At 38.2% G+C, this 18,041-nt stretch overlaps 1 long non-coding RNA gene and 2 pseudogenes across 1 annotated transcript in view; all 3 read right to left on the bottom strand.

The window, feature by feature from the left end:
* Window positions 2,943-3,083, bottom strand: RNU4-17P (RNA, U4 small nuclear 17, pseudogene; annotated as a pseudogene).
* The window catches only part of LINC03111 (long intergenic non-protein coding RNA 3111), a 36,163-nt gene continuing 23,576 nt past the window's right edge, over window positions 5,455-18,041 (bottom strand). The window contains exon 3 of the long non-coding RNA NR_186639.1: window positions 5,455-5,679. This is a non-coding gene — a long non-coding RNA (long intergenic non-protein coding RNA 3111). The remainder of the gene's footprint in view (window positions 5,680-18,041) is intronic.
* Window positions 16,243-17,099, bottom strand: RPS3AP49 (RPS3A pseudogene 49; annotated as a pseudogene).

Raw genomic sequence — 18,041 nt, 5'->3', positions numbered from 1 at the left:
TGAATAGTTCAGTCCTTAAGCAGAACATCACCTCACTCTGAGGACAAAGGAGGTCACTGGCACTCTTGTCCTTTTCCTATTTTCTCTCCCTGTGAGAACATCAAAGGATTAGGAGCTGAGAAATTTTGCAAGCGATCTGAGATGATAATAAAAGGGTTAAAAAGAGGCTCTTTGTGATGAAAGAGGAGCCAAGAAGAAGGAGAAAACTTCTTTAGCACAATAAAAAAGAGTTATGTTTTATAAGAAGTAGAATCAATGTTATACAATAAAATCAATATACTATTTTCAGATGAACATAAGCTGCACTGTCTTTGGAATAAAATTAGTTGTTCTTGTACAGAACAATTGTCAATTTAGGGCTACACTGCATCCATTACTTTTTCCCACAGGCTTTTCATTTTTCTATATGAAGACTGAAGTATTTTTATCATGCAGAAGCGTAATAAAATTCTATATTCAAAGAGCCTTGAGCTACCATTATAAGGCTAAAGTGGTCTTAGAGCTCTTTCTACAAGATCCTTTCTCTTGGTACCTAGATCGACAGTAGCCACATGATCCAAGTTCAGCCAATTGATCACTGTTTCTTTCCTTAGGTGTGGACCCTACAACCACCCAATGGGTTTATCTTGCCTGTTGCCTAGACAGAGCCGATTTATCAAGACCAGAGAATTGCAGTAGAGAAAGGGTAATTCATACAAAGCTGGCTGTGTGGGAGACTGGAGTTTTATTATTACTGAAATCAGTCTTCCCGAGCATTTGGGGATCTGATTTTTTAAGGATAATTTGGTGGGTAGGGGGCCAGTGAGTTGGGAGGAAAGGGTAATTCATGCAAAGCTGGCTGTGTGGGAGACCGGAGTTTTATTATTACTGAAATCAGTCTTCCCGAGCATTTGGGGATCTGATTTTTTAAGGATAATTTGGTAGGTAGGGGGCCAGTGAGTTGGGAGTTCTGATTGGTCATGTCAGAGATGAAATCACAGGGAGTTGAAGCTGTCCTCTTGCAAAGTCATTTCCTGGGTAGGGGGGTGGCAGGGTGGGGCCAAAAGACCAAATGAGCCAGTTTATCAATTTAGGTGGTACCAACTGATCCTTCGAATGCAGGGTCTGCAAAATGTCTCAAGTGCTGGTATTAGGGTTTACAATAGTGACGTTATCCCCAGGAGCAATTTGAGGAAGTTTAGAATCTTACAGCCTCCAGCTGCATGACTCCTAAACCATAATTTCTAATCTTGTGGCTAATTTGTTAGTCCTGCAAAGGCAGTCTAGTCCCTAGGTAGGAAGGGGGTTTGTTTTGAGAAAGGGCTGTTACCATCACCGTTTCAAAGCTAAACCATAAAGTAAGTTCATCCCAGAGTTAGTTCAGCCTCCACCCAAAAATGAACAAGGACAGCATGAAGGTTAGAAGCAAGATGGAGTCAGTTAGGTCAGATCTCTTTCACTGTAATAATTGTCTCAGTTATAGTTTTTGCAAAGGCAGTTTCAACCCTCCGAGAGGTCACACAACAATGAGAGAAAATGTTTAGAGATCATTTATTCTGTGAAAGTAGGTGAGACAATCTAGAAGTTTCTTTCAAAAAGTGACTTAGAGTTGCCCAGTTTCTATCTCTTCCAAGCCTGATTGGTGTCACTTGCTTTAAACCAAAGTTGTGGGGTGGGGGGAGGGGGGAGGGATAGCTTTAGGAGATATACCTAATGCTAAATGACGAGTTAATGGGTGCAGCACACCAGCATGGCACATGTATACATATGTAACCAACCTGCACATTGTGCACATGTACCCTAAAACTTAAAGTATAATAATAATAAAATAAAATTAAAAAAAAGAAACTTAACATACTCAAGTTGATAAGCTGTGTTTGCCCTAATCAAAGGGAAAAGTTTCTGATGCCGTCCCTGGAGGAGGAAATTGAATGGAATTGGTACTATATTCTTCCACCTCATGATACAAGAGCCTTCTGATTTGACAACCAGTAGAAGCATGGTCCAAAGAAAGCCTACCACAACATTCGTTCTAAGCCAAAGATGATAGAGTTTGCAGGGCACAGGGAAAAAAAGATGGCCAGAATCTCCATCTCTTACGTAGATGAGTATTCCAGGAAATGGAATACTAAGGCAGAGTAGGAGAGAAAATTAGGAGTTGATGTTAGAAAGTGAGGGTACATCCACACAGAGCACTTCCAAAGGCCTGTATCTTGTGGGGGCACATTTTAATATGTACTTACCCTTCAAGTGCTTAAATCACCATGGAAATCTGCCTATATTTTCAGTTGGGGGTGACGTTCTAATGGTTCTTAGGAAGATCGGTGCCTACCTGCTTCCTGTTGAAATAGGGCTGCTGGGGTCCCACCCCCACCCCACCAATCATAAGGAGAAGAGGCCACAGATCTGCATGTGTGTAATTCACTGGCAGTAAGCCTCCAGAGCTCTTTTCTTTGGTGGCTCCCCTATCCCAGCAGTGTAGTATGGGCACCTTCTCTTTTGTGGGACAGAGAGAAAGACCATTGACTCACCCAAGTAAACATTTCTCTCCACTTTGGAATCATTTGTGGTAATTGTTAATTTGACTGTCTCATTTTGGAAACTTCTATTTCTCTTGGTGATTGTGGGATCCCTCAAAGCTAAGAGGGACTAGATTAGGGGTTAGGGTTCACAGCAAGTAGCCGGCAGATTTGAATGGACTCTATGTCGAGATTTCCCAGGAATAAGGACAAAAAAAAATCTGGAGATTTCCCTCTTGCCAAGAAAGCAGAAACTCAAGCAAGGACTTGAGACAGGTGACCTGGTTAATAATCAAGTGTCTCCCAACCACAGCACTTCCCTTGTGGTCCCAAGCACCCAAGCTTGGCACTCGAAGACAAGTGACAGAGTACAGGATACATCAAATACAGTATTTGCACATTATGGTTAAAAATGAATTCTCTTTTTTCTTTTTTTAAATTCGGTCTCTGTAGAGACTGTCAAAAATTGCCAATGCCCATTCTAATGCAAGTCATCACACCGTGGTATTGGGAAATGTTTTTAATTAGCAATAATCACACCTTGGAGGAACCTCAGTAGCTACAATAGTGCCACTGCACAAAGCTTAAACTAACTTATTGTTATTATTCTTCTAGTGCTAATTTATTAAAATACAGATATGGTATAAATAATTCAATTTCCTGCAATATGTCTTTTCTATTATTGCTTCTGGAACCATTTGATTCCTTCCATTTTCTTCTTATCACAAGCTAGTCTCTATTTATCTTGACCTATTTATTGTTACAAATAATGTTTTCCTAAAACAAATTAGGCCATCAGGCAGGTATTTTAAATGTTTTTTCTTTCCTTGTCATTTAGTAATTCTATTTGGCAAGAAAGATGTTCTATTGAACACTTAGAGAAATGTTCTTCTCTTGGGCTGCAGACTGTTTTATGAGCTTTGATCCGATTTTCTCAGTTGACTCATTCTTGAGCAGAATGCAATTTGGCCAAGCTTAGTATTAGAATATAGCATGAGTTCTCAAATTTCTCTCCTTGTGGACAAGTCAACCTCTCAGTTCACATGCTGGAGGATATGCTATAAGGTAGAATGCCTACCATATTCCCCCCCAAAAATAGAAGGCCTTAGAAAAATTTGGCTTCCTTTTAGGTGTACGACCCCATCTTTTCACTCAGAACAGGAAAAGACTCCATCAAAGTTTCATATGCTGAAAAAAATCTTTCATTTGTTTGTGTGTGTTAGAGACTCATGATTTATCAAGTTATACTTACTCTAAGCCTTGCATTAGAAGTTACTGTGAGAGGATTTTTCACTAATTCTCCTCTTCTGCCTCTCAGAGTTTGCCCAGGTACTACCAACACTGTTCATTTAGAGTAGGTGAAAATCCTTGATATCTAATTAGGAAATGATGAAGAATTCTCAACTCTGTGTACATATTGGAAACACCTAGGGATCTTTCAAAAATTATCAATGTCCTACTTCTATCACAAAGATAATGACATCAGTATTTTTTACAATTCTCCTCAAGTGATTCATAAAAAAATACCCAAGACTGAGAACCACTAACCACAGTTAACTTCCTAATTTTAGGTAGTTCAGAATAACACCCTTAATTTCCTCTCAGCTGCCATGGAGAAGAGAGACCTTGTAATAAAGTAGTTCTCAAAACTTGGTCCCCAAACCAGCAGCAACAAAATTATTTGAGAACTTGTTAGATGCCAATTCTCAGGTCCCACCCCACTGCATTAGAAACTCTGGAAGTAGGACCCAACAATTGTGTTTTAACAAGTCCTTCAGGTGATTCAGATGCACGCAAAGGTTTAGGAATCACTGCTGTAATACATTAATGATTTTTCTTACTTTTAAAGTGCCACAGCACAGAATGACAAACAGAACATCAAAGCTGTGCCACTTCAGACTCGGAACTGTAGAATAAAGAAATAGGCCAATGCTATTTCTTAATCCTGTTTCCTGTATTGTTGTCCATAAAAACTCCTATCTGAACCCCACATCTGCTCAATTCTTAATATAAATTTTTGGTGAAAAATTTCCCCTTCTTCAGATATTTTAATGGACAACATGGTAGAAAGTTAAGCCAAGGGGTTTGGGCCCTAAAACTCAAATATCCTCTTCCCCAGAGTTCTTTAAGTGATCTCTTTATTTTGCAAAATTGAATAGGAACAAATGACTGGATATGGAACAGTTCTTTTTCTAAAAGTTTGAAACTTAAACTGGCAGCTCAGACATGACTTGGCAGTTAGAAACTCAATAAAATACCATTAGGGCAGGCTGTGATTCAATCACTCCTGTGTTTGAAAAAGAAGAAGAAAAATAAGAAGAAAGCTGACAGAAAGCTTTTCTTTTAAATTCATGCTTGTTTTGTTTCTTTGATTATTTTTCTTCTCATCCTCCTCCAGGTTCCCTCCCTCAAGGGAATTACATAATGGCAGGGAGACCTATCCAGGGGCAGTAGGGTGTTGATGGCTGACAGGTGATCTCTTCAATTTCTTTGGTGATCACTCCAAAAAGTAGCTCTAAAAAATAACTTCTTGAAATATTTTTGAATCAATAAGAAGAGTCAGTGGAAAACTATAAAAGAATAATAACCACAATGTACATTTATAGACTATTGGTTTCCATTTTTTAGAAAAAAAAGACTGGGTACAATTTAAAGTTTCCAGTTTTATGTTGGCTTTTTTTACCCAATAATTTTATAGTAAGTGTCTAAATTGTCTCCCTTAAAATAATCACAACATACAAAATATCCGAGACAAACATGCAGCTGTTAAGAAAAAGTATTTTTTAAAAATTCACACAGCAATAAAGAAGAAAAGTAAGAACTATTTCATTTGATTATTTTAAAAAAATAGACTAAGATAAGATTCCTAAAAGGAAGCCAGTAAAAATCACTCAAGACAAATTCTATCTTACTTAAGATATACCTACCTACATTCTGCGTATTTGTTTCGTTCGGCCCTTCTCCAAAAAGAAACCTTTCTGTAATTCCAATTTGCACTATCAAAAGAGTAATCTGATGGATTGATGACAGGCCTCATCTCTTCCGTGTGAGACGATGATGATGTGGGTACAATAGAACACTGCTGTCCACCCTTAGGTCATGAAGCCATTTCTGGTCATCTTGGGAAGATATCCCTGGGCAAAGAACAGCCCGGGACTGCTTCTTTGAGCAAGGAACACTGCTAGGGAAATTTATACCAGAAAGGAAAGTCAGGAGGACAAGCAAGTACATTGACATAGCCTGTAGAATTTCTCACTGACCTCTGGCAGAGCCATGCCTAGAACTCAGGCCATCTTAACCAAGTAATTTTCCAAATTCTCACCCCAACATGTAATTTTATTCAACTGTAAGTTTAGCTAATATCACAGAGACAAGAAAGCAGCATAAACACAATTGCCTGTTTCTTAGTATCAGCATGGCTGAAGATGTGTTTCCTGAGAAGGTGGTATTCTATGAGATGCGAATAGGAATTGCTTGTAAAAAAAATTAATGCTAACAATGTATAAATATTTAAATACATGTAATTCATATTTACAATTATATGTGGGTGTATATGTAAATATATAATTATTAAATGTTTATTTTGTTATATGACAATCTGCCTCTTCAGGAAGTGGTATGACATGTAACTAAATTTTTGATAATTGCACAGCTCAAGACATTTGATCTGAGTATTGACTCATCAAAAACACTTACTAAGAATCCTTCATTTTGTCAGGCAGCAATATAGTTACCTTTGGTGAATGTGCTTTTTTTGCTCCAATTACAATATGTATTTCTAATATTGGATATTTTTCGATAACCTCATTGCAAGTGTGTATTATAGCTCAGCAGCTCCCACTGGTGTGCCCTTGGTTCATTATAATGTACAACAGTGTCCCCCGGTCGAATATCCTGGAGAAATGTTGTTGAAGGTGATACTTCTAGCTTGGAGGAAGAGGAATAAACAGAGCTAGTTGCACTCAATATAGAGAGGCACCATAACTAACCATAACTAATCAGATAAACAATGTAAAGAGAGCAACCATTATTAAATGGCTCTTTTGTTATTGACAATCTTCTTCAGGAAGTGGCATGACATGTAACTAAATTTTTGATAACTGCACAGGCTCAAGACATTTGATCTGAGTATTGACTCATAAAAGCACTTACTAAGAATCCTTCATTGTGTCAGGCAGCAATATAACTACCTTTGGTAAATGTTGTGCTTTTTTTGCTCCAATTACAAATATATATTTCTGATATTGTAGAGATAAAGAATGCTCCATGGCATTCCTGCATCTGCTGCATATCCAAGAAATAGGACTCAGCCATTCTTACAGCTTCATGGCCACTGCTGTTTGTCATTAGGAGAAGGCTGAAACACTCAGTGCTACTCCCCAAGAAATTTGCCTGCTACCTGCTTGCATTCTCCCTTTCCACCCGCTGTCCCCCGTCGCCACCACCACTCCACCTCTCAGCTAACTCTAGTCTCCTCTTCCTCCTCATTATAGAGGGAAGCATGCTCTTAATTCTCTGGGTTCTCAGCATGCTCTTAGTTCTCTGGGTACAATCACAACAGAGGAGAGCGAGTCAGTACTCAACACTGTGGCCGCCCTTCCCTTGGAGCCTTAAGCTGGCTTGGGTAAATAAATGGCTAAGCATAATGGTGCTTTAAGGGAAAACAAAACTGATGTGAAGCGTGATGCAGTCTAAATGTAAGTATTTTTCAAATAAGAAAATACAAGATCTTAAAAAGAAAGGGAGTACCTCAAGAAACTTGAAGATCGTAAAATTTCTATCAAAGAAGATAATATTAGAAAGCAAACCAAGTCAGTGTCACTGTGAAATGGGGTAACCCTTGCAAGACCTAAATCTAGGAGCACAGTTTGGAAACATTACATATTGCAGGTGGAAAGTCTTTTTTTTTTCTTTTGGGAAAAATTTAATTTACCTTTAAAATAGGCCTTAATTTTAACAAAACAATTCAAGTAACCTCCTTAGGTGAACAAATATAAAATAAATATTCACACATTCTTATGGGGGAATAAAGTCACCATTAACTGAAAAGCAGATGATTTAGAATGAAAATGTACTATTTTACTCTTTTAATTATTCTTCCTCATTACACTATGTGCTCTGTGTTGGCAAGAGTCATAGCAGTCTGTTTTACTCATCATGGTCTTCTCAGCCCACATAGCACAGGGTCCCACATACAGTAGGACCTCACACACTGTGGGATATATACACATATGAATAAAGACTATCGATGCTATGAGCATGACTTACAAAGTACTAGGGTAGTGCTTATCATGAGGAATTGTTAGCTCCAATTAGAGACATATCGTTATGAATGATTTTCATATATGTTAAAATATGACACAAATATTATAGTGATATTTAATGTAATATTGAAGAGACTAAAGTTTAGATCATTTATCTTTCATTGTTTTCTATTATCTCAAATTCAGAATAATTACTGATACATTTTTTCTGTACAGTAGCACCTATTGAAGGTCATTTCACTTGTAGTTGCCTCACAATAAGCCCTCTTATTTTCTTTTATTGGACTCAGAAAACTGTGTATGTGCTGGTTTCAAAGTCAAGGGGTACTTTCTAATTAGATTTTACATGCATATTTTTTGTCATATCAAGGGTCTAATAAACTAGGGCAGGCAACAACACAAGAAACATACCTGAGTAAAAGTAAATACCTTCTCTTATCATCTTACCATGATTTCTGAAAAGACATCTTTATGATAATCTGGATAACTTTATTTTTTCAATTTGATATCAGATGTTAAAATAAGCCATTTTCTTAAGCAAATTCCTTAGAGCCCTATTATGGTAGGACAGTGAACTGGATCCCAGCATGGTCATTTACTAAGCTGGGGCAAGTGTTTAACCACTAAGCCTCAGTTTCCTCATTTGTAAAATGCAGTTTTAAAAAACCTACCTTAAAGAGGTATTTTAAGATTAAATGATACGATGCATACAAGGTAGACAGATTGTGCTGGCATCTTTAATGGGCTCAATGAAGACTGGGTGTCCTTGACAATAATGGCCACCCCCCCGCCTTTTAGACCTCATGTACAGAGTACCAGATGTGGTTCTGAGCACATGACAAATATACTCATTGAATTCTCATGTTACCCCTTTCAAGCACTATTATTATTCCCAGCTTACATAAGAGGAAGCTGGGGTACAAAATGATTGAGTGACTTGCCAAGATTTACACAGCACGTAAATTGCAGAACTGGAATTTGGAGGCAGGCACTCAAGCACTACAATGCATGCTCTTTATAATTTCACTCTAGCCATTCATGTGACAGTTTTTAAAACCAGGTCACTCTACCATATACAGAAGAAGTATGCCTGTCCTATTAGATTAAATCAACATGCATGGTAAGTATTCTGAAGAAATTACGGCTGTTACTTGTGCAAGAAAGTTTTTTAAAAGGCACAATTTTCTGTGATTAGAAAAGGCCTCCACAGCTGCCTTTTCACTTGTGAATATCTATTTTTTAATTATTTGTATTGATACGTAATTGTGCATATTTATAGGGTACAGTGCGATGTTTCAATGCTTGTGTATGTTGTATGATGATTAAATCAGGGTAGTTATCATATCCATACTTTAAACACTGATCATTTATTTCTTTGTGGTGGTAACATTCAAAATCTCTTCTTGCTATCTTGATATATACACTGCATTGTTAATTTGCTATAGTCACCCTACTGTGTAATAAAACACTAGAACTTATTCTTCCTGTCTAACCGTAACTCTGTGTCTGTTGACCAACCTCTCCATGTCCTGTCCTTTCTCCCCTTCCCTTCTCAGTCTCTGGTAACCATTCTACTCTCTATTTCTATGAAATCAACTCTTTTAGATTCCACATATGAGTGAGATCATATGGAGATTGTTTTATTGTGCCTGGCTTATTTCACTTAACATAATAACTTCCTGGTTCATCCATGTTGCTGCAAATGACAGGCAGGATCTTATCCTGCTTTATGGCTGAATGGTATTCTATTACATATGTGTGTGTATACATATGCATATATGTATAAATACATATATGTAATAGACATGTATGTCTATTACGTATGTATTTCTAAAACAAGTATGTAATATACATATATGTATGTGTACATACACGTATATGTAATAGAATACTATTATTAAATGTGATTATATATATATACAACACTTTCTTTATCCATTCATCTGTTGATGGACATTTAGGTTGGTTTCATATCTTGGCTATTGTGAATAGTGCTGCAATAAACATAGGAGTGCAAGTATCTTGTCACCATGCTGATTTCAGTTTTTTTGTTTTTTTTTTTTTGAAATGGAGTCTTGCTCTGTTGCCCAGGCTTGAGTGCAGTGGCATGATTTCGGCTCACTACAACATCCACCTCCCGGGTTCAAGCAATTGTCCTGCCTTGGCCTCCTGAGTAACTGGGATTACAGGCATGTGCTACCATGTCTGGCTAATTTTTGTATTTTTAGTAGAGACAGGGTTTCACCATGTTGGCCAGGCTGGTCTCAAACTCCCAGCCCCAAGTGGTCCACCCGCCTCAGCCTCCCAAAATGCTGAGATTACAGGCATAAGCCACCGCACCTGACCAATGATTTCATTGTCGTTGGATATAAACCCAGTAATGGGGTTGCTGGATCATACAGTGGTTCTATTTTTAGTTTTTTGAGAAACTTCCACACTGTTTCCATAGTGGCTGTACTGATTTACATTCCTACCAACAGTGCATTAGAGTTCCCCCTTAGCCACAACATCACCAGTATTTGTTGTTTTTTGTCTTTTTGGTAATAACTATTCTAACGGGGGTGAAGTGATACCTCGTTGTGGTTTTGATTTGCATTTCTCTAATGATTCGTGATGTTGAGCATTTTTTCATATTGGCTATTTGTATGTCTTTGTCTTTTTTTTTTTTTTTTTTTTTTTTTGAGATGGAGTCTCACTCTGTCACCCAGGCTGGAGTGGAGTGGTGTAATCTCAGCTCACTGCAACCTTTGCCTGCCTCCCGGGTTCAAGTGATTCTCCTACCTCAGACTCCAGATTAGCTAGGATTACAGGTGTGCACCACCACGCCTGGCTAATTTTTGTAATTTTAGTAGAGACGGGGTTTCACCATATTGGTCAGGCTGGTCTCAAACTCCTGACCTCGTGATCCACCCGCCTCGGCCTCCCAAAGTGCTGGGATTACAGGCGTGAGCCACCACACCCAGCCTATTTGTATGTCTTTTTAAGGAAATGTTTATTCGGGTCATTTGCCCATTTTTAAATGGGATTATTTGTTTGTATTGGCACTGGGTTGTTTGAGTTCCTTAGATAGTCCTGATATTAACCCTTTGTCAACTGCATAGTTTACAAATACCCTCTCCCATTCTGTAGGTTGTCTCTTCACTCTATTGATTGTTTCCTTTGCTGTGCAGAAGCTTTTCAATGTGATGTGTCCCATTTGTCTATTTTTGCTTTTGTTGCCTATGCTTTTGAGCTTTTATTCAACATCCATTTATGTTTTATTCTGTCATGTTCAAAATACACATTTTCATGTAATTATTTAAATGCAGTGCATTTATAATCTTTCTTAAAACTGTATTTGCCATTTGTTTACACAGGATGTTTTCTGAATATCATTCCAACTATTTTCATTTAAGTATCTAGTTCAGCTCGATACTGAATTTGTCTGTGTAATTTTCTTGCTAGCCTAAAATGATTTAAACCACGGAGTTGGCTTCAGAGGGTAAAATGTGTAATCAGTGAATGCATTGGTCAAGAGAGAAAGAGGATTTCTGGAGACATGTTAATAAAGAAAATGGTTAAAAAGAAAAGAGAAGTGACACAACCTACATCCTGTGCCTCTGCCTCAATATCTTAAAGAAATAGAATTGGGATGGAGGTTAATTTATCCCTTTTTATGAAACATCATCAAGAACTGAGAGTATTAGTGATCCTCTTCTGGGTACTTACTCTGCCAATACCAAGTAATTATTATTCCATTCTGAATAGATTTTGTAATAGAAATTTTGAGGACTGGAGTCAGCCTACAATCATGTCAGATTGTCAGATAATTCCACTGAAGGGAAAAATAAGATAATGAGAATCCCAATTAAATGAAAAAAATGGGGCACCATTGAAATACAGAAACAGACATAGTCCCTAAAGTAATATACGTATTCAGATTGCTTACACTATTGACCATAAACACACACATTTAAAGAGAAAGACGTTTTCAATTAATAATTCATCACTTTTTAAATGGCGGCAATGTATCAGACATGTTATAAACTACAGCTACAAAGGACTAGACCATGTTTTTAAAGTTCTTGCCCCAAAAATGCAGAGACAGGCCTGTGAACAGAAACTTAGCATTTAACACTAAAGCAGGCAGAAAGGTTTCATACTTTTCCTCATAAATGAAGACAGTATGGCGATTCCTCAAGGATCTAGACCCAGAAATACCATTTGACCCAACAAGCCCATTACTGAGTATATACCCAAAGGATTATAAATCATTCTACTATAAAGACACATGCACACATGTTTATTGCAGCACCATTTACAATAGCAAAGATGTGGAACCAACCCAAATATCCAACAATGATAGACTGGATGAATAAAATGTGGCACATATACACCATGGAATACTATGCAGCCATAAAAAAGAATGAGTTCATGTCGTTTGCAGGGAGATTGATGAAGCTGGAAGCCATCGTTCTCAGCAAACTAACACAGGAACACAAACCCAAACACTGCATATTCTCACTTATAAGTGGGAGTTTAACAATGAGAACACATGGACACAGGGAGGGGAACATCATACACTGGGGCCTGTTGGAGAGTTGGGGGCAAGGGGAGGGAGAGCATTAGGACAAATACCTAACGCATGCGGGGCTTAAAACCTAAATGACGGGTTGATAGGTGCAGCAAACCACCACGGCACATGTATACCTATGTAACAAACCTGCACATTCTGCACATGTATCCCAGAACTTAAAGTAAAATAAAAAACCAAAAATTAAAAAAAAAAAAACACTTCAATAAAAAAAAGATGTCTGTGAACCAAAAAATGTTAAAGTCCACTGAAGATCTCATGTTGACATGTTATGAGTCTGGATTTTTATCCTGAAGGTTATGTGAAGCTATCTAAAGATTTTAAACAGGGAAATCTTTTATTCAGATGTGAGTTTCAAGTACAATCAGCCTGATTTGGGGTTACAGAAAGGAAAGCTGTGGGTCAGAAAGGAGGGATGCTGACAGCTGTTATGAGGGTCTGCAATGAATAATCAAGGTAAAACAAGAGAAGCGACTGAACTCAGGCAGTGTCAGTAGAAGTGGACAAAAGGAGACTGATTACAAAAATATCTAGGAGGCACAGTCAACAGGATTTTGGGGGAGGTTGGATTCAAGAGAAGAGAAAGAGGACTTGGACCACCGGGTATATCTGAGGGGCCATTCAGTGATACAGAAATGAAGGAAGTGAAGCAAGCCAGGGGAGGGGTCAGTGCAAAGAGGAAAAAAGTTTAATTCAGTCTGTAATATCTGAGTTCAAAATACCAACGAGACAGCCAATAAAAATGTTTATGCAGTAATAACTGGGTGTATGGAACTGGAGCGCAATAAAGAAATGCAAGCTGGAGATCCAGGCTTGGAAGTCATCAACTCATTTAGGCTATACTTGCTGCCAAAGGAGCACATAAGATTGCACAATGAAGAGGAGTAGCATGCAAAGAGATGTATGTCAGGAACCCAGTGAACCCCAGACATATAGGAGGAAAAAGCTGGAAGAAATAACAAAAGAAATCAGAAGAAAACCAACAGAAAATGTTGCCCCAAAACTCTCCTCAACTGGCTTTCAAGAAGAAGGTAGCTATTAGTAAACAATGACAAATCTTATAGCATTTTAGAAGACACAAAAACCTAAGTTTCTTCTCTAAGATTACTGAACATAGCAGAGAGAATGAGTTTCATATATGGTCTTGCTTTATCTATGGAAAGTGGGCCGAAAGTTTTTCTGGGACATGTCCTTTTCTCCTCCAGATGGTAGGCGGGGATTTGTGGCCTGGGTCTCCTTATGGGAAACACCAAGAAGAGGAAGGATAGCACCAGAGATAGTGGGGCAACTGCCCGAGAGCAAGGCAGCACTGGCTCACTATCCCACAGCTATGCCCGCCACCCTTCCTCCGTATAGGAAGGGCCAGATTCTAGAGACAGGCTAAAATGGCTGATAGTTGTTTTGCTTGCTTTTATTCAACTAGGAATAAAAAGAAACCAACATGAGGAGCACTCTTTGCTGAAATTTTCCACTGCATCGCTTTTAACCCTGCCCTTTCTCCTGACTTCAAAAGAGTGTTATGAGGACATGATCCTACAATCTTTTACAACTATCTTGAGTCCGTAGATATAGACATGACATCACTGACATATTGAGGATGACAGAGCTTACAGATGGAAGGAAATTGGGTCTTGTGTATTATTATTGAATGCCTAAAACAAACTGGAACACACTAACTTCTGGACTTTTTGTTACATGAAAAAAGAATCAAGCCATATCATTTAATTCTATTTCAGTCAGCTATTCTGTTACTTGCAGTGGAGCATTCTACCTGCTAACCCAACATACTCAAGGCCTAAGCAATGCTATTTAAACATAAATAGAGTAAACATACCTGCTCTGAACAGAAGCCACAGTGCTACTTCTGGAAAAAAAAATCAGACGGTGCAAAATGTCTAACAAACAGGGCAATTTCATATACTTTCCTATTATAATGCAAATGCCTATTTTGACAAAGGCAGTTGAAGCATACAGCCTGAAGTATCTATCATGGTCAAGTTTAAGATTAATGATTCCAGGAAAGATTTGAGCTGAAACACAACAAACTAATAAGCTCTGCACATATCTGTTGTTGAGCTTCCACAGAAAAAGAACAAAGCGTGTCAGAAGAACAGATTAGAATATACAAACAGACTCCTCCCTGTGCCTTAACTTCAGGTTTGAAGCCAGATTCTTTGGTTTTTAAATTTTAGATGTAGCGTCTTTCAACAATCAACAGTATAAATTTCTATAATAATGTTCTCAGAGATAGCAGCAAATCAGACCATTAGGCCAGAATTAAAATGAACATAGAGGCCAAGCACGGTGTCTCATGCCTGTAATCCCAGCATTTTGGAAGGCCAAGGCAGGAGGATCACTTGAGCCCAGGAGTTTGAGACCAGCCTTAGCAACATAGTGAGACCTTCATCTCCACAAAAAGGAAAAAAAATGAACATAGAAAGAAATCAAGTTAATGGACATTATCAGAGTCTGTGCCTCCATTTGGCAGGTAACATCCAGGAAAACAATGCATACAACAAACATTCTCTTTCAACTTTCCACACAATTAAACTCTTTTAGAGTAATAATAGAAGTCTGCAACTTCCAAGGATACTTAGGAAGATTGCTTTTCCTTCCTAAACATCTTCTTTATTCTTACAACCTACAAAATTAGCAAGGCACTATCTATGGGTACTTAAAAAATTGGTGAGTATTACTCATACTGACCTATGATCTCAGAGTCAGCAAACAAAGAAAAAGTTCTCATAAAAGCTGTTAGCCTGACCTTATTTGATGTTCAAGATCCGCACTTAATCCAAATATATTCTTGTGATGATTTCTTTGTCAACTAGGATGATGTCCTACTGATGATCAGTAAAACAGAATCCCCTAAGCATGCTCTAAGATCACATAAAGACTTCTCTTGCTTTCCTTTAGCCCCAACACAATCCAGCTCTCTGAGCCACTGGGCAAATATTGTCTGCCTAAAATCTACCCAGTGACTTTAACCAAATTATCAAGGCCTCTGAATGTCAGAGGCCAAATCTGTTGCATTGAAATCTTCCATTTGTTCAAGAATTATCTATTTCCATCTAGCTCATGAGACACACAAATTTCAACAACTATTGGGTTCTGAAACAATAATTAAGGTGAATGGGAGACTGTAATGTGCTTATAATGAACAGAAAGATGGGGTGCACAAATAGATCTCTCCACATGTAAATAGCAGCCATAATGCTTTTCTTCCAAACATCGTGTTATTAGTGTTGTGAGAGATATATTGCCTTTTCTGAAGTCACAGGTATTGTTACTCACCAGATAAGTTGTTTTTGAAAAGCAAGATTCCTCAATTGTGAGTGTGTTTCTGGATACTAAGACAAAAAATAGCCCTTTTGAAAAATTTGGCGGGTTCAAAATTATAAGCTTAATATAAAGCTCTTCCATTAGGAGTAAATCCACAGGCAGAGCTGAAAGCCAGTTCATATTATTTTTTAACAAAGCCTAACTATAGAGAATTAGTAGGATTATCGTTGTATCAAGGAAACCAGAAACATTATTTCAAACAAGGTCTCTGCAAATCAGCAGCTAGAAGAACAAAAGTTCAAAGCATCCTGGGATGCTGGGTGCCAGGAAATTCCTTAAAGTCCTCCACTGAAGTGGATATGTTCGTGACAACAATCCTTATTTTGATGGAAGTAGCTTTTCAAGATCCATTCTCCAAGGTCACTAGGTCAAGAAAAGTCTTTCCTTACATGGTTTTGAATGTTTGTTTAATCCTCCAATTCACCTATCTTGTAGCATTTTTTACTGGTATTTGATAGTACATTAGAATAACCAAAGTGCTGTTCATTTTTTATTAGGGCCGATTAACTGGAGATATTTTGTTTGTAATTTCCCTTTTTATTTTTTTTTATTTTTTATTTTTTTTACAAATAGCACTTTTTATTTGCCACTATTTGAAGTCTGAACTTTAAACAGATTCTTGGACTGGTGGTTCATATCCATCAGCTCATTCAACTTTAGCACCTGTCTCGTCCCCAGCAGCTTTTCCAGAACTACTGCCTTCACCATGAAGCTCCATGAGCTTTCCCAGTTCAAACTTGGGCTTCTTCAACATTTTTACTTTTCTAACGAAGACATCATAGAGAGGATAAATAGATTGGCAAGTCTTTTCTATGTCTTTTCCAATGCTGTCTGGAATCAATTTATTGACCACTTCTTTCACGTCATTTGTCTGCACCTCTCGAGTCATGATTTCCATCATCTTCTTCCGGATTTGGCGGACCTGTTGTTGCTGAGCATAAGAGGTCTTCCGTATCTGATTGCTGCGTTTTTTAGTAAAACCAACACAGAAAAGACGAAGCAAGTAACCATCGGTAGTCTTGACATCAACATGAGCTTCAATCATTGTCTGCCATTTTTTGACCATGGAACACATTTTGTCATGGGTAAGATCCATGCCATGGAAGTTAGGCAGTTTTTGCCCTGAACATCTTCAGTAATCAGCTGAATTTTCTAAATGCAACTTCATCATTCTGCAAATCAGCAAGACTCACTTCAAACACACGACCCTTGAGACCATCAGATGCAATTTTGGTTCCCTGGGTCCTGGTGATGAGCGTCTTTCCAATATTTCTTATATTGAACGTAGTAGGTGCTTTCGCGTCAAACCAATCTTTCTTAGAAAATGGATCAACCACTTTCTTCTTGGCTCCCTTTTTGCCGCCTTTCGTAAGGTGCTTGTTCTTGCCCACCACCATGGTGCTGGTCAGAGAGCCAAAAGGGCAGAAGTCTGTAATTTCCCTTTTTAATATGGGCAACCTGCCAGGAGCCTACAGTTGTCTCTATCCACAGGCAAAGCAGAGTTCTAACAGAATGACCTAAGGGTGCAATGCTAAAAGCCTTTATGTTTTCTACTTATGTGTGGCTAAAATTGTCACCTGTAGCAACTGTGTATCTTTATCTTCTGTAACTTGCAGTAAGGTAGTTTTTGTGGAACTTTTCTTTTAAAATACAAATATATCATCTTGCACTCTAGTTAATGTCTGGGCTCATTAGTAGTCACTAAAAACTATTTCATTTGATGAGCAAAGAAAGAATACTGAGAGTGAAGACAGATACACTTTGAGGAGAGCTAAAGGCAGAGGATGAGAAAAAACTTCACAGCATGAGAAGAGCCTGATGACAGCTGTTAGGGACTAAATGTGTCTTACCAAAATTCACATATTGAAACCCTAATCTTCAATGTGACTGTATTTGAAGACAGAGCTTTTAGGAAGGTAATTACAGTTAAATGAGGTCATAACAGTGGGGCCCTAATCCAATAGGACTAGTGTCCTTACAAGAAGAGGAAAGACATCAGAGCTCACCCATTCTCAGCCCCGACACCAGCCCTGAGTACGTGAGTTCAGGGGAAAGGCCATGTGCAGACACAGCAAGAAGGTGGCTATCAACAACACAGAAATGGAGACCTCACTAACCCTGCAGCACCTTGATCTCGGATGTATAGCCTCCCAAAATGTGGCCAAATAAATGTCTGTTGTTTAAGCCACCCAGTCTGTGTTATGTTATTATGGAAGCCCAAGCAGACAATGGAAAATCCTGAAAAAACAGAAAATATCCATCCCTACCTTCAGAGAAAAGGAAATGGAAAGACAGAGAGAAGCCAAAAAGTGAGGTGAACAATTTAGAAAAAAGAGGCCAAAATGTCTCAATGTTGCCCCTTAG

Source organism: Homo sapiens, chromosome 18, assembly GCF_000001405.40.
Source record: "Homo sapiens chromosome 18, GRCh38.p14 Primary Assembly".
Taxonomy (NCBI): domain Eukaryota; kingdom Metazoa; phylum Chordata; class Mammalia; order Primates; family Hominidae; genus Homo; species Homo sapiens.
Note: the sequence above shows the minus strand (reverse complement) of the source record. Positions and strands in the feature narration are given on the sequence as shown.